The sequence below is a fragment of the Homo sapiens genome, chromosome 2 (genome assembly GCF_000001405.40).
Source record: "Homo sapiens chromosome 2, GRCh38.p14 Primary Assembly".
In the NCBI taxonomy this organism is placed as follows: Eukaryota; Metazoa; Chordata; class Mammalia; order Primates; family Hominidae; genus Homo; species Homo sapiens.
In genome coordinates this window covers 181,978,353-182,004,199 of record NC_000002.12, presented here as the reverse complement: position 1 = coordinate 182,004,199, position 25,847 = coordinate 181,978,353, and the positions used below count along the sequence as shown (strand labels likewise).

The 25,847-nt window shown below is 36.0% G+C and overlaps 1 protein-coding gene across 5 annotated transcripts in view; it reads right to left on the bottom strand.

Moving 5' to 3' along the window:
* The window catches only part of PPP1R1C (protein phosphatase 1 regulatory inhibitor subunit 1C), a 176,906-nt gene that overhangs the window by 127,186 nt on the left and 23,873 nt on the right, over nt 1-25,847 (bottom strand). For 3 of the 5 annotated variants that reach the window (NR_048566.2, NM_001261425.2, NM_001080545.3), the window contains exons 1-2: nt 18,009-18,347; nt 16,301-16,361 (exon numbers count right to left, since the gene is read on the bottom strand). The exons of 1 other annotated variant lie outside the window; for it this stretch is intronic. Coding sequence is in view for 3 of the 4 variants with exons in the window: in NM_001261425.2 (NP_001248354.1) it covers nt 16,301-16,361; nt 18,009-18,089 (142 nt within the window). In the remaining variant the exon portion in view is untranslated. Of the gene's footprint in view, nt 1-16,300; nt 16,383-18,008; nt 18,348-25,847 lie in introns of those variants that run through there. One more of the 5 variants, NM_001261424.2, reaches the window with a different exon arrangement.

The window sequence follows — 25,847 nt, the reverse complement described above, 5'->3', positions numbered from 1 at the left end:
GCAAATGAGATGTCTGCCCCTAAACACAGGAAGGGTGTTCAACTGGAAGAAGTATTACACTTTTTCTGAGATCTTTTAAAAGAATTGACCAAGACTAACAGGAGAAAGCTTCAGAAAAGATATTTTAACTAGGTATATGGCACGCCTTTCTAACAATTAGAGCTCTCCAGTCAGAGCCGTGATGCTTCAAAACCAGCCAAAATCCTAACCACTGGAAATGGTCAAGTGGAATCTGACTAATCATCAGTTGAAATTCCTGGAGAAAGTAATCCAGCATAGAGCTGAGATCAAAACTGGGCTATGTGTTCCTACTCAAGCTTTTATCAATTTTACTGTGTACCTGATTTGTTTATGAAACAATCTATTTCAAAGTTAATGAAAAGGGGATGGTTTTAGTGGGAGCTTGGGAGGCTATTGAGCATTCCTTTTTTTTAATAATTAAATTTGTGCAAAGTCCAAATGGTAGTGTCCATTTTACATACACACACACTACACACACACACACACACACATCCAGCAAAAATCATAGAGGCTGACTATTGAGTTTATTAGCTTGGAGATGCTACAAGACTGATTTATGTCCTCTTTTGGTAGAATGTAGGAAATTCAGAGATATAAACTGCTACCTAACTGTACTCTACTTAGTGATATTTTTTCAGCTCTGAGCTGCAAGAAAACATATTTCTTGTATGTCCATGTCCAAAAATGAAATAAAATGGAATCTGAGTATCTTAAAAAATGCAAGTATTTAGTAAAATAGGGTACTGGTGAAGGCATTCTAAGTAGAAAAAAAATTCTATCAAAGGTTTAAGGTAGAAATGGTTTAGAAGACAATTAGCCAGTCTGGCCAGAGATGCAGGTCCAGGCCTAAGAATAAAGCAAAGTAGATTTACAGGTTTTGTATTTCTTCAGACTAAGAAATCTAAGTGTTATAGTTGTAGGAGCAATGGGTGAGCAAAGGTAGTGAAATACAAGACTACTGTTTGGAAAAGATGAGGCAAGATTATGCAGAGCAGATCTCAAATGTAAGCACAAATTGCAAATATCTTTATCACAGTAGTTTAAAAATTGACAATTTATGTGACTCCTTTGTAATTCAGTGGGCCCATTTCCCCTATATGTTGATAGTTTGGCAGAATGTTGTTAACCTCCACTGCTGAAGGAAACTCCCTGTGGTTTGCTTGACTATGGGAAAGAATACAGGTCAATTTTCTCCCAATATAATAGTTGATGACAGTTCTGGGGGATTTCAGGGTTGTGGGGGGGGGGAGGTTTATGGCATCACTCTTGGTGGTATGATTCTACCAGTTATGGAAGACGAAGGTGAGAATGACTATGTACAGATACTAGGGGGTGATCTTATAAACACAAATTTCAAATATATCTTTCTGCTCTCAAATGTTTGATGGGATTTCATGAGGGTATTAGAATATTTAAATTTTGAGATTTTAAAGCATGTAAATCAGTCTAGATCATGAAGCATATTAATAAACAATGTCATGAAAATCCTCTAATATTTTGTTTTTCAGTTCTTTGAAATATCATTTTGGTGCATTAGTCTTAGCCATTCTTTTCTTTATCAGACATTTAACCAAGATTATGAATAAAGAGCTGGGATTCAAATATTACTTTAAGCCCAAGGAATCTTGCTCATTATTACATAATAATTTTTATTAATAAAAATATAAATCCAATAACTTCTGTGGAAACAAAGGTTTGTTTTTGTTGTTATTGTTTGGTATTATTTTGTTTCAGTTTACATATATTTCTTAGAGTATAAAATTTGGAGCAGGTAATCGTTTTTTATTCCTTCTCAATTTATTTTATGTCAGTTTCAAGTTTATATCATATCTTAAAAAGTTATTTTCTCATAAGGAATTTCATACTAAAGTTTTTCAGATTTTTTACTGGAGTGAAAGGTAGACCTATAGTTCTAAAAACAATGAGACAATTGCAAACTCTAGCTACTACACAGAAAAATTTTAATACTGAAAAGAAAAAAAAATACCTTGATGGAAAGTGGGTTGTAGTATGTCAGGAAAAAATGCTAAGAAGAATATCAACATTCTAAGCTGGAAATAAGGAAAGGGTGCTGGTGCCTGCTATAAGCTCATTGTTATACAATATAACAGCAATATGTCCACAATGATACGCATGTTAATAAGCACCCAGATAACAGAAATACATGGAACATAATCTTATCTGACTCAGTCAGAAAATAATATAGCAGCTGGAATGTTGTAATGTGAAGCTATACGTATATGACTGCAAATAATTCAGTAGGGTAAAAATAAGTTGTTTCTATAGATTCCTTGTGTATAAGGTGAGGGAAAGGAAGGATATAGTACAAAGTCCACTCTAAAGTGATTTCTCGTACAATCATTAAGTTCTGCTTACATAGAAATCTTACCAGAAAACACATCAAATGGATTTTGGAGTGAAGTTGTATGATTTTAAATGCATTTAATATGTAATGAACTGTTTGATTTTCAGTACTGACTGGAGGGTTGCTAACTATTCCCTGATAGTTTATTGCTAACAAAGGAAATAATTTAAGTTGTAAAATGTTTATTTTACAACTCAAAGGAAATGAAAATAAAACCTAGCCCCTATTTATCTGGGCACATACCAAGTTCACATGGAAGGAAAGTATATGACCATCCAGTAGGACAGAGATGGTTACTATCTGATGGCATTGAATTGGACTCTTGAGCTCCTATATTCTTAGAAGAAAGCAGCCAAATTGATTGTGTATTCAGTTTTCCAGCATTACCATTTTATTGACACTTTAAAATCAGATGTGAATAATTTAAAGACAGCAAAAGAATAAAATTGGTCATTAAACAAAACACGCTCAGTCTTTCAATTGTCCTCTAAAACTCCAGAAGTCCCAAAATCATTATTATGCAAAATTGTCTATGCATCTGCAGTCACTAATTACCTGTGATGCCTATCTCAAAGCATGTCTACACTAAAACAGTGAAACAACCAGCTCAAGTCTTCTACTACTAAAATTCATTCTTGTTGAGATGATTCCAAAACTTTGGTCAGCCTGTGTTTTGTGCTTCAAAGGCCACTTTAAATTATGCCCATAAATATTTTATGTAGGAGCTCATAATAATCCAATGGGTTATGCATCAGCAAGTGTAGGTATCTGTGAACTGGGAGGACAAGAATAAACCTCATGGAACACTCAGGTTAGTTTTAATGACCTCTATTTTCCTTCCACAGTGAGGGTTGCTCCATCCTCAGAGCTTTATTTGCAGCCATCCTATCCAGAGAGGAATTATAAGGCCTCATATACATGGATCTTTCTTCTTTCCATCCACATTAAATTTTATTAATTCCAAGATCTATTCCTTCAGGGCATTATCAGGTGACAGAAAGGCATTGAGCAATCGATTGGAGCAAATGTATTAATAGATCCAATCACTGAAACCGAGGACTAACCTGATTAAGCCCACCAAGCTTAACCTGCCTTGTTCACCTTTAATGGCTTACTTCTAGTTGGTCTTAAAACCTAGATAGCTAAAAGTCACATAACCAAATAATACATAACTAAACTTTCATTAGCTTCCTTATAGATAATATCTCTAATGTGTATGTCTCTATGGTAACTGTTGCTAAAAGTTGTTTTTCAGGAGCAAGGGGGCAAACTCTTGTCCAATTCCAATTAGTTGAGATTACTGATCCTCCAGCTTGGCCTGCCTGGTTGCCCAAAATGTGACCTTTTGATGTCAGGAGGCCCAAAATCTCCACCCTCAGATCATGCTAATGCCACTATTTTTGGAACATGCATCCTATGAAGAGCCATGTAGATTGATTACACTTGGACAGAATCCTGATTATCTCACCTTTCCTACCCAACAATCACCTTTCCCCACACTTTAGACCAACCCCGTTTCTATCCCATAAGTACTACCAAGCCCTGATTTCAGGGAGGTGGGTTTGAGATTTGTTCTCTCATTTACTCTCCCAGCAGCCTTGTGAATAAAATCTTTTCTGTTTTGCAAAGGCCACCATCACAATGACTGACTTACTGCTAGCTGGTAGAACAAGCCTGGTTTGGTGTCATGACATATTATGCTTACTCGTGCAAAACCTTCTAGCTGGAGTGGTCCAAAAAGGTTTCATGAAGGAAGGGAGGTTTGATCTGAGTCTCACAGGACAAGAAGAACTAAAATGGAAGGGAAGGGAAGATGACTGTATGTGCACAAATCGGTCATGTTTTGAGTTAACTAGAATCCAGATGTCCCTCAGCCTCACAACTAATGATGATTTAAGTCAAGATAATGATTTCTTAAAATAAATGGATATATATAGGTAAGCAAACAGAGATGAATAAAAAACGGGGTTCATCTCTAAGAGGGAATAATGGATGATATTTACTTTTTTCTATTTGGTTATCTTTTTTTTTTTGTTTTTAGCTTATAGAATAAAATATCTAGTATAAGCAATGCTAAAGCAGTCTTCTTAACTAATAAATACAAAAGAAGAGAAAGAAAAAAGTATAGAATTACCACTTCAAAACCAACTCATTTTGGAATAAAGATGAAATACATATTGGGATATATTATATCAAACAGAATCTCACATGGCCAAGCTACAAAGAGGAGCTTGCTTATATTTTATTCCATGAAAAAGACAAATAAAATAGAAAGAGTGCTGTGTTGCTTATTTACAGAAATAAAGATGTTATTAATGTAGTAGGAAGTACATTGACCTTGGTTACACAATCTATATGTACATTACAGACCTACTTACTGAAATAGCTCTTTTGACCTTGAACAGCTCACCCATCACCCTCTCTCTGTAAAATGGAGTTTAAAATATTCATTTGATAGAGTTTGTAAGGACATGTATTATAGAACAAATGGATTTGCAAACTGTAAATCTACCAAAAGTAAGATACATTTCTGTAACCCCCTTTAAATTTGCTTTTGAGTTGGTATGTTTTTCTTTTTAAATTATTTTACTTGTTGCTTAGAGGCATTTTTTCTCTTTTGTGTCCTAAACATGTTTCAAAATATATTTTGAATATGTTGCTTATTCTGTAACTGTCTAAATGAAAAGTACAGCTGGTGTTTGTCTTGATTCCAATGATGGCTGCGTACTGTAGATCTAGAATGTGTGAAAATATTTGCAGACATCTCCAGACCCTTAAGTAAAAAATTGTCCTTTATTGGCTAAGTGAAGCAGGAACTCTGGGCTATTCACCAAGTAAAATGACCTGTGGTAGAAATTGAGATGATCCGTTTTAGTCCAATCATTCATGCTGTTTTGCTTCACTGAAATGTGATGGTGAGTGGGTCTCTGGCATTCTTTCTTGAAAACCTTTTAACCATTAGAAGCAGGTGAGAAGTGCTTAAAATTCACGAAGAAAGAGTGGATATTCTTAAAAGTGTTTTGGGAAGCAAATCCAGCTTAAGCCTGTTCCTAGTTGATCGGAAATCTTTACGCATTTTGAAAAATTATTTTAAATAGGAAGTTCTCTATGGCAAATAAACAAGGTTCCTGTGTTCTGCTTTATGAGCCCTCCACAAAAATAAAGGAGGAAGTTAAGTGGTAACATTAACCATAATCTAACAATCATCTCCCTTTCTTCTGTTCGTTTCCTTTTAATCAAGCCTCAGCTTTAGTGCAGTTGTCAACAATTTGTGTAATAAGATTCTATAATGGCTGACTTATTCAAAAGAAGGAATGAGAATGATGTGTATATTATGATGAAATCGATGAGCTATTCATGAGAAGACTCCAGGTGCCTTATCTTAACTAATTACAAGCTAGGGCAGATAAATCACAGGATACAAATTAGAGCTTATGACAAATCAATTATGAAAGTAAAGCTGCCATAGTCGATCACATATCATATAATTATGTCTGCCAAAAGCCTCTCACACAAACCAGAATGGGCAAAGACCGAGCCTAGCATCAATAGTGTTGCCAGCATGCATGATCTCACTTGATTCCAGCAACACAACCAATGCCAGTGTTACCAGGATCCCTGCTTCCTGGAGGAGGAAACTAAGACTCAGACATTTACTCATGCCACGAATGAAACCCATGTTCACTGATTCTAAGGTTAGGCTCTTAGTCCTACACAAAATGGCCTCCCAGTGTCAAAGTCAAAGAAAACTAGTTTGAAAGTTACAGTGTGAGTTCAGAATAAAGCAATATGTGTCACAGACACAGCAGAAACAATAAAAACACATAGGACAGGTTCAACCTATAGAATGGAGTTAACAGAAAAAACATTGCTATATTTAAGACATGAAGGAGAGATAGAGGAGCCAGAGATGATCCTAACGTTGTGTGGTTTAGTGATTAGAAGAATGGGGATAAAATTAACTGTAATGCTGAAGTCAATAGTTGAAAAGTTGTCTTCAAATATGGATGATGCATTTTAGTTAGACATTGACTTTCAGGTGGTAGCTGGAGGAGCTCAATTTCTACATCTAATTATAATACTTCTGTCCGTAAATCATGAAAATGGGCATATGAAACCTACTCAAATGAGAATATAATCTTAAAGTATTGTTAATATTCAATACATGCAATTTATTCTTTAAAATACTCTTTACTTTTTAAAAAATAATTTAATCAATCTCATTACTTGAATCCATGCCAATAATTTCAATGTTTTTTATTCAAGGTTGGATTTTAAAATAATACAATTTGCTTTTAATCTGTTGGTTTTTAATTCAAGATGTTAGAAACAAAAAAATTATTATTAGCTTATTCCATTTAAAACCTGAATTTTCAAAGCTTTTCAAGACACTTTGGCAGGTTCAGGCCTCTTTTGTAAGTCAGGTTACTTAGTGGATATGGATTTATTACTTGGTTAAGTAGTCCACGTGGGGTCTTTTTTTTACATACAGTTGGATATCTACCTCTGTGTGCATCATGTGTACGTGTGTTCATGCATGTAAATATTTGTGTATATGTCTTCTTTTCTTTTTTTTTTTTTTTTTGAGACGGAGTCTTGCTCTGTCGCCCAGGCTGGAGTGCAGTGGCGCAATGTCAATTCACTGCAAGCTCCGCCTCCCGGGTTCACGCCTTTCTCCTGCCTCAGCCTCCGGAGTAGCTGGGACAACAGGCGCCCGCCACCGCGCCCAGCTAATGTTTTGTATTTCTAGTAAAGACAGGGTTTCACCATGTTAGCCAGGATGGTCTCGATCTCCTGACCTCGTGATCCGCCCGCCTCGGCCTCCCAAAGTGCTGGAATTACAGGCGTGAGCCACCGCGCCCGGCTGTGTATATGTCTTCTAATACTCTGTTATTTATCATCAGACAGGGGAAAAAGCATAAAATGATATTGCATCATTGAGGCAAAGTATTCTAAAAATTGGATTCCAAAATAACTTCTCATTCTTCTATGTTGTGCATCCAGTTCTATTTTCACAAGCAAGTCAATATGTATTTATATGTAAAGAGTGTAATTCTGAAAATTGTTTTCCGTAATGATGGAAAATTGCTCCCAGAGAATGAAAAAAACATGAAAGATTATAAATTCTCTAGCTTTTTAGTTTGCACAGTCCTTTTTTTCCTCAGCATTATTACCAAGGTCAAATTGTAATTGTGTTCTAATCAGATTGTCAATATATGTCTTTCATGATGTGGATTTTGGCAACTTATTTCACAAATGGCTTTGTTAAACACTAATTTTTACTATATCAAATTATTCTAAATGAAGTAGAGTCACAAAGATAATATTCTACCCAAGCCCAGAGAAGACTCACAGATATAGGTGTAACATTTTCCAACATGTGCTGGGAACCCCTGAAGTATTAGGGAAGATCTGAAATGAGTATGGAGAGGGCAGAGACCGCACACAGACTGGGAGGGAGAAGGTGAATTCTGAGCCCCCTGATTGTCACAGCTGGGACATTTGTTTAGGACATGCCTTTCCCTCCACCTCTGGCTTTCACAGGTCCTTCCTGAGCTCCAGGTAGGCAATTTTTCTAAGGTGTCAAGGACAACGTGTTATATCTTCAGAGTACTTGTGTTTTAGAAGTTATAGCAACAACTGCAAAAGGTAAGATTTCAGGTAGTATGGAAACTAATTTAGGGAGATACTTTCCAGTATCTCTAAAATCTTACCACTTAGGTGTTCCAACCTGTTATAGTGCTTTCTCAATGTCCTTTGCAGTTTTATCTGTTTAATTTGAAAGCCTTGGATGGAGCTTGTGTTCTCCAAGTAGACTACAGTCCCCACCACAGCCTACTGTCCTTCTTAGGGCCCAGGCTCTCATCTATGTCACCTGCCCAGGTCCCGGGGCATTTCTGCTTAAGCCCCTGGTAAATTCTGTCTGGAATTGTGTCTGGAATTGTGGAAACTGTGTCAGATCACTACTTAGTGGAAGTGATGCCTAGAAAATGATGAGAGAAAAGACAGAAAAATCCCAAGGCTCCAGGGCTTGCTCCTGAATAATTCCAAAAAAAAAAAAAAGGAAGAAATTTAGAAGTAATCTTTTTCCATCAAGCACACAGCTTAGCTAGATTTATTGTTAGAGGTCCCCTAATTTATGGTCTTGTGGAATATGACTATCAACTAGAAGCAATTAGAAAGAACTGTTAGTAATTTTTTCTATCAAATTTGAAACTGAACAACTGTTAAGCTACCCAGAACAACTGACAATGATGTCATCTGTGTCTATTACTATGCAGACACCTATTTATTCAATGGACTCAGACTAGAGTTCTTTGAAATTAATGTATTCTATATTTAGTGGTGTGGGAAAACACATGTATTTTGATGACACATGAGCCCAACTACCTCATGTGGCTTCTTGGGTCTTAGGAGGATGCGCTATTTTTCTGAGGAAACTCAGGCAGTAAACAGCCATCTAAGATTTATATCCAGACCTGAGTGATTCCAAAGCCTCTACTCTTAAGTATTACATGTCTGCCTCCCCAAAGTAATCATTGTCATTTATCAGGCATCTAGTCTGTGTACTGTACAACATTTTAATCTAATCTTTAAAAATCCTGTGACAGACACTTCTTTACTGAATGAAATATATTTTGTATTTTTGGCATATACTATTGTTTTTACTACAAAAATGCATATGTCAGATTGTAAATATGTCTCAGATAAGTTTCTCCATGTGGATAGCATTGATAATTAATTTACCTGTTTTATCCCCTAGAAGAGTAACATTGTGCTTTAACCAGAGCTGGTGCCAAAAAAAGGTTGAAGGATTGACTTTGAATCGTTCACAGGCATTTAACATCTACTCTACTAGTAAGTTGGAATAAACAGTAAAATTTTAGCTCTGACCTCAATCCTTAATAGCTTAAAGCCCAAAGATCAAAATAAGTCATGCAAATGCTTTATAGACTAGGAAGCATAATAAATAAGTGCCTCTATGCCTTGGCCAGAATTAGCTTTACTGTGGTTTCAGCAACACGGATTTCTGTTATTACAATTGTATCATGGTACATCCAGACATAATATTCTCTGTTACCTAGACCACATGTTCCCAGAGGATTTAGAATAAGGACTCAATAAATTGAATTGAATGTATAAACCAATAAACAGCTTTAAGAGTAGAAACTAAGAGAAGAATATTAGACTAACATGACCAGACAATGGGTCAGATTATTCAGGGAAATCTTTTGCAATTTAAGTGAGTCTTGTGCTGAAGTTTATTTAAATAAGAGAAATTCGTGAAAAAGACAGAGACTGATTTATGCAAATGAGACAGTCTAGACTAAGTCTTAAAAGTCAGCATGAGAGAACTACTTCAATAAATAAAGAAAGGTTAGCCAGAATATAGAACAGAGATGATGTATGAAAAGAAGTGAATAAAAATGGAGTGGAATGAAAATTGAGCAACAAGAGTATTTGATAGATATCTCTAAAAGATTTTTATACTCAATCCTTACATTTTTTTTCTTTCTACATACTGTTGGAATATGAATTTCATTTTGGTCAAACACAAATTGGCCACAAATATGTCAATTATTTGCAATAATGTTTTTCATAACCTTATGAAAAACCTAAGCATCAGTAGCATGCTTATTTTAAAAAAATCTTAAGAACTCATATTCCACAAAAATTATATTGGCAAACAGGGCATGCTCAGTTAAACCAACACTACAATATAGGATACATAATACTTACACAATTGTATCTTCCTCTCCTGATGAATTAGGGGGTACTATAGATCTTTTTTTTTTCTTACCCACTACTACTGTTTTTTGGGAAAACTATTTGCCAATGACTAACATCATCTGGATTAGAAAAAAGCTGGGCCATCTTTGAATAAGAAATGCAGGTCCCTTTCATTTTTTTTTCATTTATTTTGAAGATTGGACAAGTTACTTTGAAAACTTACAATGTAGCAAGCCTTGTCACTATCAAGAACTGGAACCTCATCTTTGGCTCACAATTATTCCAACTGATTGGGCTATTTAGCTGCACATACTGAAGAGTTAAGGGAAAATAAGTCAATTAATTGTACAGTACATGAATCACTGAAAGCCACATGTGTAACTTTTTAAAAAATCATTCAGCATTCAATAACTCATAAAAATAAATGCTGAGGGAAATAAATAGGCTTTTTTACAATTTCTTAAAAATTAATACTAGCTAACACTTCAATGATCTTCAAACACTGGACCATTTTTTTGTATTGTCATTAATACAGACAAGGCAAGATTGTGGATTCAAATGAATTACAACCACATTCAAATGAGACCATTTAAAATGCAACATAAGTATGTGGACAATGGGCCAGTATAGCGTTTATTTGAATACATTTAATTGGAGGTCCCTGGGGGTGGCTGGTACCTCAAGATCTGGGCCTGATAATGTCTTACTCATCTTTAAGAGTCCCCAGAAACTTCTCAGTATGGTCCCTGGAGCCCAATTTTCTCTTGACAACACAATCATTCATTTTGCAAAATAGAGGGTCTCCATGAAGAGAGATTTTGTGCATGTGATGCCTTAATACTGGAAATAAATTTCTACTTTCATTTTGTTGACCCTGAAAAACTTCCTGTTATTTTTGGATTAAAAAATAATCACCAGAAATTTCTGGAGCCCCCTTGCGTTTTGAACAATTCAATCTTAGTCCAGCATTATTTCCTAGCTATCATCCAGTGTCTCAGGAATCCAATCTAGAGGCTTCAAAATCTGTTTTTTTAACTTAGTTTCAGAATCCTGAAACGTATGCCTCATTTAGAAAGTAATATGCTACATACAGTATAAACTGTGGCTTCTTTTTCGTTTCTGGAAATGAATAGCCAAAGCAATTGCACATCTCAGTTCTCTCTAATGACCAGGCCTGCTATCAAATTTGAAAGGAGATAGTATTATATTTAGTATCATATATCTCTTATGTCTCCTATTAACTAACTTTTGGGAACCTGAGGCATGTGAGAACAACCTTTGTTTTTATTCTTGATTTCAAAGGATATTTGACACTAAAAGGGTCAAAGATAAAGTCGATTTCCCCAAAATTTGGCTGTGATAGGAAGTTCAATAAATATACTCAAAAAACTATTTTACCTTATGCTTCGGATTCCACTTTTTAGATGTACAGTGAGCTTTTAAATGACGTCAAAACTCCTGGGTACTTACCCAAATCTGCACTTATCTCCAGGCCTCATACAGCTCACTCATGTTTAGTAGGCGTCAGGTCCATTAAATATAACTGTAACCATATTGTCTCTGCTTAACGGTAAATGGAAAACAATGGATGCCACAAACTTTAATATTCAGAAGACCTGGTCTAGGCTGGCTTTTTACTGGAAGACTGTGTCCAGCTCTGGGCTTCAAAGGCAGAGCAATAGGGAGAATTCGGATAGAGTTTATTAAAGCCCTTAGGGAGATTGAGAATAAAAGAAAATAATCATTCATTCATATTTTTTAAAAGGTGAGAAAATGACTTTTTATTGCAGAGAACAAATGAAGTTATTTTAGAATAAAGTGGGGAATTTATATTTAAGTTTGGTATAAGAAATCATTTTCTAACATCTGAAATTATCAGAGCTGGAGTTGAAAAGCCCGGTTAATTATGGATTCTTCTCTGAGGTATATAAAATGGAGCGAGTCTCAGGGACTTGGGTTGGTTTATGTATGTCTGTCATGAAGATGTGTGGTTAAAGTAGGTATTTTCTGAAATTATTTTCCAACTCTAGATTTCAAACGCTGGTAGCCAAATATACAGTCTTTTCATAAGTCTACTTAAGACATTACTTGTTTTTAAGTAGACTTAAAATATCTATAGATGTGATGGAATAAATTACAGAAAGTATCTTTGCCATTTATTTCCCTACAGAGAGGATTTACACATAAGCAGCTCTCTAGATAAAAAAAAATATATAGGAACCAAACCAGTTCACTACAGATTATACAAAAGTAAAAGCAAACAGCACACAGTATAAGAATAGATAATAATGCTCTCCTGTGTAGCTTCAGAGAGCTTATCATAAAGAGGCCCTTAATCAGAAGAGGAACTGAAAATACAGAGAGGCAGTTTGCTACAAAGGTCACTCATGTTGGTAGCCCCAGAAAACATTTGAAAAAGACGAAATATAGGGAACTTTGGCGATTCCCTACTTCCCCTATCTCAGTTTTTCAGTATCTTTTTGCTGCCACCTGACTGTTGAGAGTTATTCCTAGGAGCAAATACATTGTTTCTGCTTTTTCTACCCTAAAGACACACCTCTGTTACTAAACTTTCCCTGACTCATGCCTTCAATTTAAAAATTTTAGTTTCATCTCCCACTATTTTGAGTTAAACTGATTTACTAACCCATGCCAGAGGGTGATATATCCTTAACAGATTAAGTATCTGTTTACATAGTGCTTCTACTGCTGAGAGTTCTAGGTTATTTGTCAGAAAGGGACTGATGGGACATTATGCTGCCCCTAGAATACAACTAATCAGGTGCCTATCTCATCTATGTGTTTAGACCAGCATAGATGAACTAGCAAACAAAAAATCTGAATATACATCTTGAAATATCTTTCTATTTTTCCTCTACAAAATATAAACAGAATATATATAATCATTCTTTCAAATACTCCTATAATTTACTCTTCCTGCAAACACTTCAAAAGGTTAAAAAAAAAAGCAAGCTATGTCTAATCCATTTAACAGTGATTGCAGTACACTGATCTTGTCATATGAATTGGAATGTTTTATTACTTATGTTTCTATAATGAAGAATTTAATTTTCTTTGCTTTATTAATTGACAATAAAGAAAGATTTGCAGGGTTTTGAATTTTAAACAGCATTAATGACAGGTGAGTCCAAGAACAGCCAATTATTCCCTGGCCAATTTCAGTGAATTGAAGAGATTTGTTTAGTTTTACCAGGATTTAAAGCTGCACCCAGCTTTTGTTTTTCAAACAACATATTGCTTTTGGGGGACAGGAGAAACAGTTGCTTAAAAATGGTCATTTAACACTTATGAGTGTTTTCGTTGTTACTCTTATTTGTTTTGTTGTTTGATAGAGAGTGTTCAAATAATGTGTGGAAAAGAAACTGTTGGATCGCGCAGAAATATTTAGAACAGATGAGATTATGAAGATTCTGTTTTTCTTGTTATATCTTTGTTCTTAAATATCACATGCAAATATTGTATTCCCGAACACATCAGTTAATGATACCTAATCTTTGTTGCACTTTGCAATTTTTAAGTCATGTTCATGGTAACTCTTTTGATCATTACTACAACCCTGTGAGGTTGAAAGAAAGAACACTATGATCCCTATTTTATAGATGAGAAAATAAAGCTTGGAGGCCGGGCGCTGTGGCTCAGGCCTGTAATCCCAGCCCTTAGGGAGGCCGAGGCGGGCGGATAGCGAGGTCAGGAGATCGAGACCATCCGGCTAACACGGTGAAACCCCGTCTCTACTAAAAAAAAAATACAAAAAAATTAGCCGGGCGTGGTGGCAGGAGCCTGTAGTCCCAGCTGCTCGGGAGGCTGAGGCAGGAGAATGGCGTGAACCCCGGAGGTGGAGCTTGCAGTGAGCTGAGATCGCGCCACTGCACTCAAGCCTGGGCGACAGAGGGTGACTGTCTCAAAAAAAAAAGAAAGAAAAGAAAGCTTGGAGATATCCCTTTCCCAAGATCACATCACATGGCTAGTTAAGACCAGTATCCAAGTTTGATTTGGTTTAGTGTTCTTTTTTTGCTGTTTGTTTCTTTGTTGTTGTTGTTGTTTTATCTTTAGAGTTATTTCCCCAGTAAGCTTGGTGCTAGATCATTTTTACTGGGAAAACTATAAGCTTTTAAGGGTTTTACTACAAAAATCCATCACTAGTCCAAAATCTCTAGTTGCCATGCACACTTATCCAAGTCCTATACACAGCCAAAAGCTGATTAATTCTTTGTAGACTATTCTAGTTTCCATAAAGGGGGAGGAAGATGCAGGCAGGTGATGTACTAAAATAAAGTAGTTCTCTGTGAGATGCTATTTGCATCTAATTTGTCTCCAGTGGTGCTTAAAAAACAAAGAGAAGTATGAGGTCAATTAGAGAAAAGGGACAATGCCATCTAGTAATTGGGAGATCTGACAAAAAAAAAGGTTTCTAGAGAAAAACTGAATCTTATTCCCAGGGATATTTAAGTACAATTCCTTAATCTACTAAGATAAGTGGTCCAGAAAATGGATTTACTTTGTTTGGATTTGCTTGTTTATAGGGCCTGAATGACTAGTCACATTATAAAGCCTTCACCATGTAGTGCAAACTGATATTTTCAAAGCCAGTGCCAGTGGAAATGTATGGGCTTCAGTATCAGAATTACCTGCATTTGTCTCTGGAATCCGTCACTTCTAGTGGAATAGCCACAAAAATCACTTCACCTCTCTGATACACACTTTCCTCATCCAAATGGCACATATTTGGCACTCAAGAGAATGTAGCTGCTATTTTGGGAGTTCAAATGAGAGGATGAAGGTCACTTACATGACTTCACTATGTTCAAACAGCAATGATGCCTATAGACCTCTGAAAACTGCTCTCCAGGAGATAGAACACCTGGAAATCAAGTTGTGCAGTACACCTTAAGGCAGGCATAGGGAGGAAAGTTTTAGGACATTACAGAAATGTTTGCTACCATGAGCAAGGCAGTGATGGAAAATTGCTATAAAATTACCCCCAAATCGAGAAGACTTATCTTTATACTTGTATTTATTTTAGAATTATAATTACATATCATTTGCACCTCTTATTTAACCAAATATAAGTAAGTTAAGATTTATTGAGATAATATATTTGAAAATAATTTTAAATGCAATGGCACCCTAAAGTTATAGGATCAAATTATAATTATTCATTTTCAACAGAAATAAATTAGCTTACTTATTTTCCATCACCTGAAAATTTTCTTGGATTTGGGCTAAATGATGAATAGCCTATTAGTTTACGTTCTTTTTATATGTTTCTCTAATTAGAAAAGAGTCTGAAAAAGTCAAGGACTATTTCACCCTGGTATTCTTAGATCACTCGCTACAGTCTATTATTAGACATATTATGTTTCCACTGTTTAAACTCCTTTTGTCCACCCATTATTGTTTATACCTGCAAAAAAATCCAACACCAAGTTCTGCCTGGTTGCAAATTAATGTCATGACCTTTCCTATCCTACTTGTATATCCAGAAGCAGCACTTAAATGTGAGACTAAAAATCACCCCGCTTCAATAAGTAAATAATGTTTGTGGATTACAGATCATAGTCTTTTATCCGGAATAATAATGCGGTTTTCATTTTTACAGGAAATGGAAAATAAAACCTCAACAAATGGATTCAGCCATTCAGAATGGCTCTCAAATAGGCAGTGCTGAAAATTGATCTGGTTACTTGTCAATTGCATTATTCAGAGATGACGTCATCAGCAAAGCTGAAGCCAACGCTGGGTCATTGCCCACCCCATGTCAACCTTTTCCATATAAAAAACTTACTCTGTAAAGATATAAGCATCTCTAGGGCTGTAATTTGAGCTTTTAAACCTAATTAAACAGCTTTCCACCAGCCTCATTAATAAGCAGTAATCCAGGTTCCATACAAACACCTGAACATATGACAGCCAGTGCTAGCAAAATATTTCATAGCATATCATCACTTATGATATTCTAGAGGAAATACAGGCTGTGGCTTGAGATTATTCCTGTAATATTTATTTCTGATTCTGTTTACGATCCATTTTATAGATTAGCTTTCTAGAGTATTGCTAACTGTGAAATCCTAAATTGAAACTTTTCAGTACGACATGTACTTTGATGTTCTTTAAACAATTCCATTCTGTTCCATCAGTGTGAAACACATCATGCTTCTTTACCTGGGGGGTTATGCTCATTGAGAATCACAAGTGATGCTGGTGTAGGTCTTCTTTTCCTGATCTGTGAACGACAAAAGCCCAGCTAATATCAGTGAGTATTAGACACTGCTCCAGGTTACTCTGCAGCTTGCAAAGCTGTCTCACCCTCATCTTTTCCCCACATGCAAAAGCAAATTTCTGGAGGACACATGGAAGGTGCTCACTAATTTTATTTTGAAATAATAGAAAGCCACAGAATTGAACTGTCTGATAGAAGTATCACCCTCTTTGACCAAAAAGCTACATTTCCACGGAAAAGAAATAATTATATACAACTGAATGATACAACAGAAAATTAATTTACAATGAAGGTACAGGGTTGACCTGATAATGTTAGTGGCTTGCTTGGAGCCTCATAACATTGGTGGTGCTTTCAAGATTCATTACCCTTATTTTTAAACAGGATAAGGAAGAGCTTGGAAACCTATTTCTAGCAGGTACCAGAGTTAAATCAACAGCATAAGCTTTGAATTTCAATTAATTTTGTTAACTTTTTTATTTTCTAGTATAATATTTAGAACAAATAAACAAATGAAGAATAAATATGGATCTTATGAGAATATGCAACTTATTACAAACTCTAAAGTTTTTTTTTTTCATTTTAAGAGTTACAGGAGCATAGTATTGTCAGAATCCCTTGAATATAATATCCTTTATTTGTTTATTATATTCATTTATGGGTAAATACCCAAAGTAAGTGTCAGTAGGATAGATAATAAAATTTATCAATGACATCCTGTCCAAGATAGAAGCAACATCCCATTCAGCATGGATAGACACATGTTCAAGGATACATTTATCTGGCCTGAGTCTAGGTGCATCTACCTCAGATTTCAAAACATCCTGAAACACTATGAGTCACGGATTAAATAATTATTTTTAAGACTTTATATCAAATACTTGGAAAAGGATTCAAGAATAATTTAAGTTTTAAGAAATGAATGGATTAGGTTGATGTCCTCATAAATTTCTTTGCTTTTGCCTCCTCACAGTTGCAGTTCTAAGAGATGCCATTGCATCAAGAATCTAAGTAAATCTGAATATGAAAGGTGATACAGATGTAAACCAATATTAGACATGGACAAAGAATCTAGGAAATGTTAAAACACTGTTTGTAATGTCTGAACAAAACGATTTTAAAACTGTACAAAAAGCTACAAATCCTAGCTGTAATATATTATATAAACTTATAATCATTGTTTTGTGTCCACAATAATAAAACATATGAAAATAAAGTATTAGGCCTATAGTCTCAAACTATTGCAGGATTTAATGATTTTATTGCTAAATCAATCATTTTATTTTATAAAAAATGAAATAAAATGTTGCTCATTTTGATAATTTTTAAAAGTTGCTCTAAATGTTGAAACTGTTATTTTAATGAGCAAAAATGAACAGATTTATGAATCCATATCTGAATTGCTTACAGAGCCATTTTCCCCTCAGAGGTGCTAATTTTGTATCAAATGAAGTGTTACATTTTAGACAATAGTTCTCCCAATGCAATTTAAATACAAGTATGTGTAAAAACCAACTTATTTCTTGTTTACATTATCTTGAAAGTCAGAGTTAGCAAAATCAAAAGGTAAAGAACCTTTCAATTAATAACCAGAATGCATGTTCATATTACCTTATGTACAGGAATGGTTCTCCATGCAATTTCACATACCTGCTCTGCTGCTTCAGGTGCAATCTGACTCTGGAATACAGGCACGGCAAACTGTATCTTTTTGGGACTGTTGGGCTCCATGGTAATGATGATAATTAGTCAGAGATGTGAAGAGCTCAGAAAGACTAACCCTAAGTGGTGTCCGGGATGTGTTTCCTCAGACACACTCCACTAAGCCACACAGAGTGCTTCGTAATAAATAGCTGTAATTCCAGATCGAGCAAGTGAAGATGCCGAGGTTTGAGTAACCCCCTTCTTCAACATCCACGGTGATGCCTGGCTTGCCTGTTCCCCCACCAATCCCTTGGATCCTCTCAGCACAATACAGAAAGGAACAATACGCTAATTGTGTGCCTCTTCACTAATACACATGCCAAGCATTCACTCAGCAGCTAATTGAAAATGCAATGCTAGCCTTGAAGGACCCACTGCCCTGGGATTTGAAAGAAAGGCTCTATCCACTGTACATTACTAACCGGCTGCTCAAAAGTGCAATGTAAGCTCCCTCTGAGTATTGCAGGGATGGGCCATTCATTATTGATGAACATCAAGCAGGAAGTTTTTAGAGTTGGGGGCAGGGTTTAGGTATGGAATCATTTCTCTCAGCAACTTATAAGTCAGATACCTTTGCTATTTCACATTCAGCCACGAAACAGTTGAATGGCCATGGAGGGTAAGCCACAACCAATAATATCAGCTATGTTTATGCTATAAGATCTGGTTAGTTTAAACTCATCCTAGGAGGCAGAGCATCTGTGGTGTAGTGAGGGCAGCATTACTGCAGGGCTGAGCAGATCTTAGTTCGAGTTCCATCTTCATAATTAACAAGCTCTGTGGCCTCCAGAAAATTACTGGCTACGTCTAGGCCTCCACACTTCCATCAGAAAAATGAGGGGATTGGACTCAATGACCTTTAAAGTCCCATCCTGTTCCAACATTCTAAAATTGCAGTTCACAGTTTTCATTAGAGTGGAAAGTATTGTGCTGCTAAATTTAGCAAACAGCTTGGAAGTCACTGCTGCTTCAATGACCTCTATTTTATTTCCTGGTGGAGCCAGTTACATTCTCTGACTTGGAAGAATATGACTGGAAAACATTAGTAGAAACCTAATGGTAGTCAACATTATGGCTTGTTGTCAACAGTAGAAATGTATGTAAAGATAAGGACTTGAAAAAAGCATGAAGTGGGTAATGTTCAGAGGGTTGATATTGGCTAGTGGTCAGGGAACAGTGGGACACTAGCCTGATTGCCACATTAGTTAATGTTAAAGGGGAGGTAGTAACATAGCCAGATGGCCTTCATGCATTCGAATACTTTTATGAAGGAAGTGTGAAAATGAAACTGCTTGAGATCTCTGCTTTCTTGAGAGGCATTATGTGATGAATACTAGATTTGTAAATATGTTTTTGGATGTACTTAATATATTTAGACATCGACTATGATTCCAGGTATTTACAATTGAAGTTTTTATTTTTTAAATTTTGATTCTGTACTAGGAATCCATCTTAATGATTTAAATAGGCAACATTCTGTTGAAGGAATATAGAAAGGAATATGCATTATTGAAGTAGTTTTCTATATTCACTAGGGGAAAAAGCAAAGATGTGGATGTGAAAGCACTTTTAGTGGAGAACAGTGCTGACTAGCAAGAAATCTTGTGATGAGTTTATCCGTGTAGTGTCGAAGGGAAATTTATAAATTACATTTTATGTAACAGTTTACAAAAGTCTCCAGAAATAAAATCTAAATTGATATCATTAATGAAGTTATTTCTTTGAATATATCTTCAAATTATATAAAAGGAAAGCAAGACAAGACAGTATTTTTAGTGAGGAGTTAATACAAAACTTCACATAATGTAATAATTAAGAACATGCACTTGGCAACCTTGAGTTCAAGCTCTAGCTCTGCTACTTACCAAGTTTATCAGTTTGGGCAGTAGGAGAACTTTCTTCTTGTGAGGTTTAGATTACTCAATTCCTGAAAAGAGCTCATTACAAGGCCAGCACGGAATCACTCAATAAAAGATAGCTATTATTTTTCTTTCAGCCAGATTTTTCAAAAGGCTTCAACATACACATTTTCAACCAGAATCACTAAGAATATCTATCTACTTGGAATAATTTGATTCCACTTAGAATAATAGGTGATAAAGTGAAATTTCATATATGTGTTTGGTATAAATACCAATAAAATGGTTCTCATTAACTAATTGCCCTATTTTGAATAGGTTGATCAGAGACAATATTGTAAATGGGCTATCTAGACCCTTTAAGCTTCTTGTTTTTTATGAGGCCAACTCCTGTGTGTCCATTAAGATTCAGTTAAGTATCATTGCTTCTAGGAAGCCTTTGTAGATTTACTGTTCTCCACATTGGGTTTAAACTCACCTCTCTGTATTCTTAAAGAATGAAGCATAACTCTATTTATCATAATAACTACCTACATGTCTTTTGAATGTTTAGTATTTTGCAACTTTATTTATTCACATAGCAAATATTTGTTGAGTAGATACTATAGTCTACTCCACACCAGGCCTTTTGCTATGGCACTAGAGGAGAGATTGTGTTAAAAGGTATTTGAAGTCCTTTTAAAGCTAAATTCTTACTTGAAGAACTACTTAAAATGCAACTTAAATGTAAAATAATCTAAAAAATGTTAATATAGAGTTTGCATGGGGGGTATAATTTTCCTAAATATTAAGTGCACATTTTTTTATCCCTATTAGAGACAAGAGTAATAATTAACCCTTATATGATACCATGTGCCAGGAATTATTCTAAGTGCTTTATCTGCATTAATTTATTCCGACAACTGTTTGAGGTAGATATTATTGCTATCCTCAATTTAAAATTAGGTAATCGGGAGTCAGAGAGTTTAGATAATTTGTCCGGGGTCATCCAGCTAATATATGGCAAAGCCCAGTTTCAAACCCGGGCAATTTTGCATAGGGCTTGGGCTTTTAATCACAACAGCATCATGATGGCCACTATAATATAAGGCCAGTAGAGAAGTCAGTGGCAGTCAACAGAATCTCCGCAGTGGTTAGAGGTTCTGACCACATCAATTCCATGGTAAAAGATCTTAAGATGACGTGGTATATGAATGAAAGAGAAGCAAGTAGCATGACTAGGATACTATTAATCAAGATACTCAATCATTGCAAATTAGATATCAATATAGAAAGGAGAGCCTAAAGTTGGATGTTGTACCACCAAACTGACTGAAAAAGGAATCCTCTCCGTTGCTCTTTAAAAGTAATGGGTTCAATCATTAAAGATTAAAAAGGCCTCTAGAACAAGCAACAACTATAGTCTCTCTTCAAAGTAAGTGATACTGGAGTAAAGATGGAAAAACATTAGGAAAATAGGCCATTAGGCCTTCCTGATTTTACACTATAATATCTATCTTGCCCTACTTTGCATGATTCCTCAAGACCCTCCTACAGGCTGCCGCAGTTCACCTTACCACCAGTCTTTCTGTGGCCTCCCCTACCTCCCTGGAAGCCATCCTGCCTCCCCGCTCCCTTTTTTAACCCAAATTATATTCATTCTCTAATTCCACCTCCTTAGAAAGAGACCTTCAGATTCTCCACACAAGAAGAATCACTCAATTTGTTCCCTCTCCTGGTATTTAATTATATATAGTTTTATGTTATTCTATAATAATTTCCTATGTGTTTCTTTTGCCTCTTCTCCTAGACTGCAAATCCCATCCTATCTTAAACATAAACATAACAAGCAAGATGCTCGTCATCTAGTAGTTACTAAATAAGTCCAATTAGGCTTTATCTAATACTATCAAGAAACGTAAGGTGTTCCAATAAACTGAATTTTCCAAAAGACTATGGCTCACCCTTTCAAGCCCTACACCTTGCTGTTAGTATTTCTTGCTATAGTAACTGCCTCCAAATACCATAGATACATAGTTCTTATGACTGTTTTTAGAGTTATTTTTCTTTATCTGATAACTGTCAATACTTGTTTTTTAATTGTTACCTGATATTAACAAGTGCTTTCTTTGAGGGAAGAGAAGGGAAAGAAAGGGGAAGAGAGGAGAGGGGTGGAGAGGGAAAAGCAAATTTTTAAACTTTTTAATGTATTTTCTATTCCAGGCTTTGTTTTAAATATCTTGAATTCATGAATCTTGAAAGTTATGCAGATATATGAGACGTGACTTTGTTTAACAATTGGTTGGCTAACTAAATGCCATCAAAAATAAAAGCAAATATGTATTACACATGACTACATTAAATGCTGGAAATACAATAATGAACAAAAGCAGAAAAAATACAATATCATCTAGATATGAGTCCATTGAAAAGATTTCTAGCCCTAATGCAATGATTTTCTGTCTCTTCTATTTAAAACCCAAATGCTGGCAGTCACATTTCAGATGCACTCCCTTGTATGTCCTCCTTCAATTCTAGTTGTAACTTCATTCATTTCCTCCATCAAAGAAAACAGATGCATGGGAGAGTGACAATATTATTGGGCTTTCATAGAATTATCTCAATTATATTCAATGTAACCTGTTGGAGAACTCCAAAACCTTCATATTAATATTAAATTATTACTGAACCATTGATACCTAATTGAGGCAAAGAGGCCTATCTATAAAATGTGGTCGAATCCCAGTAATATAAGTGAAATGAACCACTCTTTCCAAGTGCTCATTTAAATTAAATTTCCCCCATGGAAATTATTAGCCATATTTTAACTCTTTCAGAATGTCCTATAAGTTCAACCATGCAATTTTAAATATGATATTTTTTCAGATCTACAGCTATAAGAAGCCTTACCAGACTAAGCTCACTATATTGCAATCTCATATTAAAATCTGAATTCCCACAGCACTTAAGTATAAAATACTTGCAATCTCTATCAGGCTTAAAGGCAAACATCAATGATTCATTCATTCCACATTTATTTAGTGCCTACTGTGTTCTTTAAAACTTCTCCTTGGCCGGGCACGGTGGCTCACGCCTGTAATCCCAGCACTTTGGGAGGCCGAGGCGGGCGGATCACGAGGTCAGGAGATCGAGACCATCCCGGCTAAAACGGTGAAACCCCGTCTCTACTAAAAATACAAAAAATTAGCCGGGCGTAGTGGCGGGCGCCTGTAGTCCCAGCTACTTGGGAGGCTGAGGCAGGAGAATGGCGTGAACCCGGGAGGCGGAGCTTGCAGTGAGCCGAGATCCCGCCACTGCACTCCAGCCTGGGCGACAGAGCGAGACTCCGTCTCAAAAAAAAAAAAAAAAAAACTTCTCCTTATTTGTTTTGTGATTGCATGTTCTCATCTTCACTAACTCTAACAATTTTGACTTACTCTAGAATCCTCATATCAATCAGTAGAGTGTATATGAGTGCTGAATTGAACTGAAGAATTATTAGTGTGTTACATACTCAGTATTTTTTTTCTCTAACCATGCAGACACTATTTTTTAATGTATAATTTTCCTGAGTAGTCACTCAATTATGTTTAATCTCTATTCTTGTTGAGGCAGTTTCACTAAAGAAAGCCATAAACCCATGAAGAGTTTGTAGCAAGTCCATATTAGCCATGATGCTATAGCAGTGAGTTGACATCAGAGAGAGGGAGCTACAGAGATTTGTAGAGCCGAGGCACTGTAGGTCTTTACTGATGCCACTTTGGGGAAACAGCTCAATGGACAGCCCAGGAATAGGAGTGTCATGGGGACACAGTCAATCACAGCCCAGTGTGGACAGTCTTAGAAATTTTAGACATTGTAGACTTTTAAACAGGCTTTAGCTCAAGTCCAGCAAAGGCACAGGAATAACGTGAGGAAGACTTGGAATTCGCTCTCACCCCTTGTCTACCTATCTCCCTTTTCATTTGTTTTGGTACCTTTCACTTTTATGGATTTCCATAGCTTAATGTTAGCCTCTCCCTGCTTTTTGTTTTGGAGAGATGATTATTAAATGAAGTTGGACTTGTAATTGCTGAGTATACCTAGAAATATATTCATTTCCAAAATGCTTTCATAAATATTATTTATACATCCAACAAATATTTATTGAGTATCTCATTCTATGACAGACACAGTGATACAAACACAAATACAATAAGATCCCAACCTCTAAAGAACATACAGTTGAGAGAAGAAGGCAGAATCCTATAAAAATAAGCACCATAGAGCTGGTGACGCCATGATCAAAAGGAGTTATAGGAAGTGGAAAGGGGACCTAGGTAGGAGGGTGATGTCTGACTGTGAGCCACAGACATTCTTTTATTTGCCTACAGGTGTTGTTGTTGTTTTTAATTGCTACCATGTTTAAAAATACACAAAAACACACAAAAATAAAGATATTCAGCTTCTCAATAAAATAGAAAGTCTTGCAAAGCTGGGCCCTGATATCCACAAGGTCACAGAGCTGCCCTCTCTATGCAAAGAAGTGATTTTTACATAGAGACAGGCTCCATCGCCTCTAACACTACGTACACTCTATTTACACCCAGTTATCTTCACTCAGTCCCTGACCTAGAGGAAGAAATGACAACATTGCATGCCATGCACATTTCTTTGCAAAAGTAGATACCCCGATACCCCCAACTGAGCCTAGCTTTTGAGTCATTCTTGCCCATGCAAAGAAATGTGGGATTTACTCTGAAGGCAGTGACAGGAACTAAAGAGATTCACATAAGAGAGTATGGCAATTTGATTTAGGTTTTTTAAAGAATGATCACTGTGGTGCCCATGTAGAAGTAGATTGGAATGGGTCAAGACCAGAGACAAGATTATCTGAGGATGTATAAAAATCTACTCAAGAAATGAAAAAAAGCCTCAAATAAAGTAATAGCAGTGAAAATGGAGAGGGAGATGCATAGAATATAGTTATTTAATGAAATTGGATGATAATAACGGAAGAGAGAGTTGGAACAATGATGAACTACGAATTCAGATTTAGCAGCCTAGTATATGGGGTCATATCACTCACTAAATGGTAAAATGTAAGGATAAGATGTAGAACAACAATAAAAATCAATTACTCTAGACTTGGTTTAGTCCAAGTATGTTATCTAGATGGAAATACTCCTTACATTTTCTCATTGTTAAAATTAGTGAATATTAAAATTTAAAATAAGGATAAAACTCTTAACTATTTCATAGAATTGATATAAGGATTCCAAGAGGTAATTCATGAAAACTGTTCAGCACATGGCATAATTGTGACTCAAACAGCTGGAGATGACTTGAATAGCCAGGGATTAGAATGCTCTGGAGGCTTCTTTACTCACATGCCTGACACCTGGGCAAGAATGACTCAAAAGCTAGGCTCAGTTAGGGGTATTGGGGTATCTATTTTTGCAAAAATGGAAGAAACAATCTCTCTCATTCCCCATATTTTTCTGAAATGGCCCTTACTATTCTCCCACCAAGAGTTGTAGTCTAATTCCCTTCAAATCTCGGCTGGCCTAAGTGACTCATATGTAAACTATAGAACACAGAGAAGGTGATGCTTCCTGACTACTGAGGCTGGTTCATAAAAGGCCATGCTCATTCCACTCAGTTCCTGTGTAACACCCCTCCAGTCCCTCCAGCTAGGACTGCTCCCTCTCAGAAAACAGCCACTGCACTGTGAAGAAGGCAAAGCCACATGGAGACCACCTGTGAGTACTCCAGTGGGCACCCTCAACTGAGCCTGACCTGTGAGTCATTTTTGCCCAGGTGTCAGCCATGCGAGTTAAGAAGCTTCCAAAGCATTCTAATCCCTAGCTATTCAAGTCATCTCCAGCTGTTTGAGTCTCTGATCTGATGCCCCAGACATCATGGTGCAAAGAAAAACACTCTGGCATTGCTCTGTCTGCCTACTCTC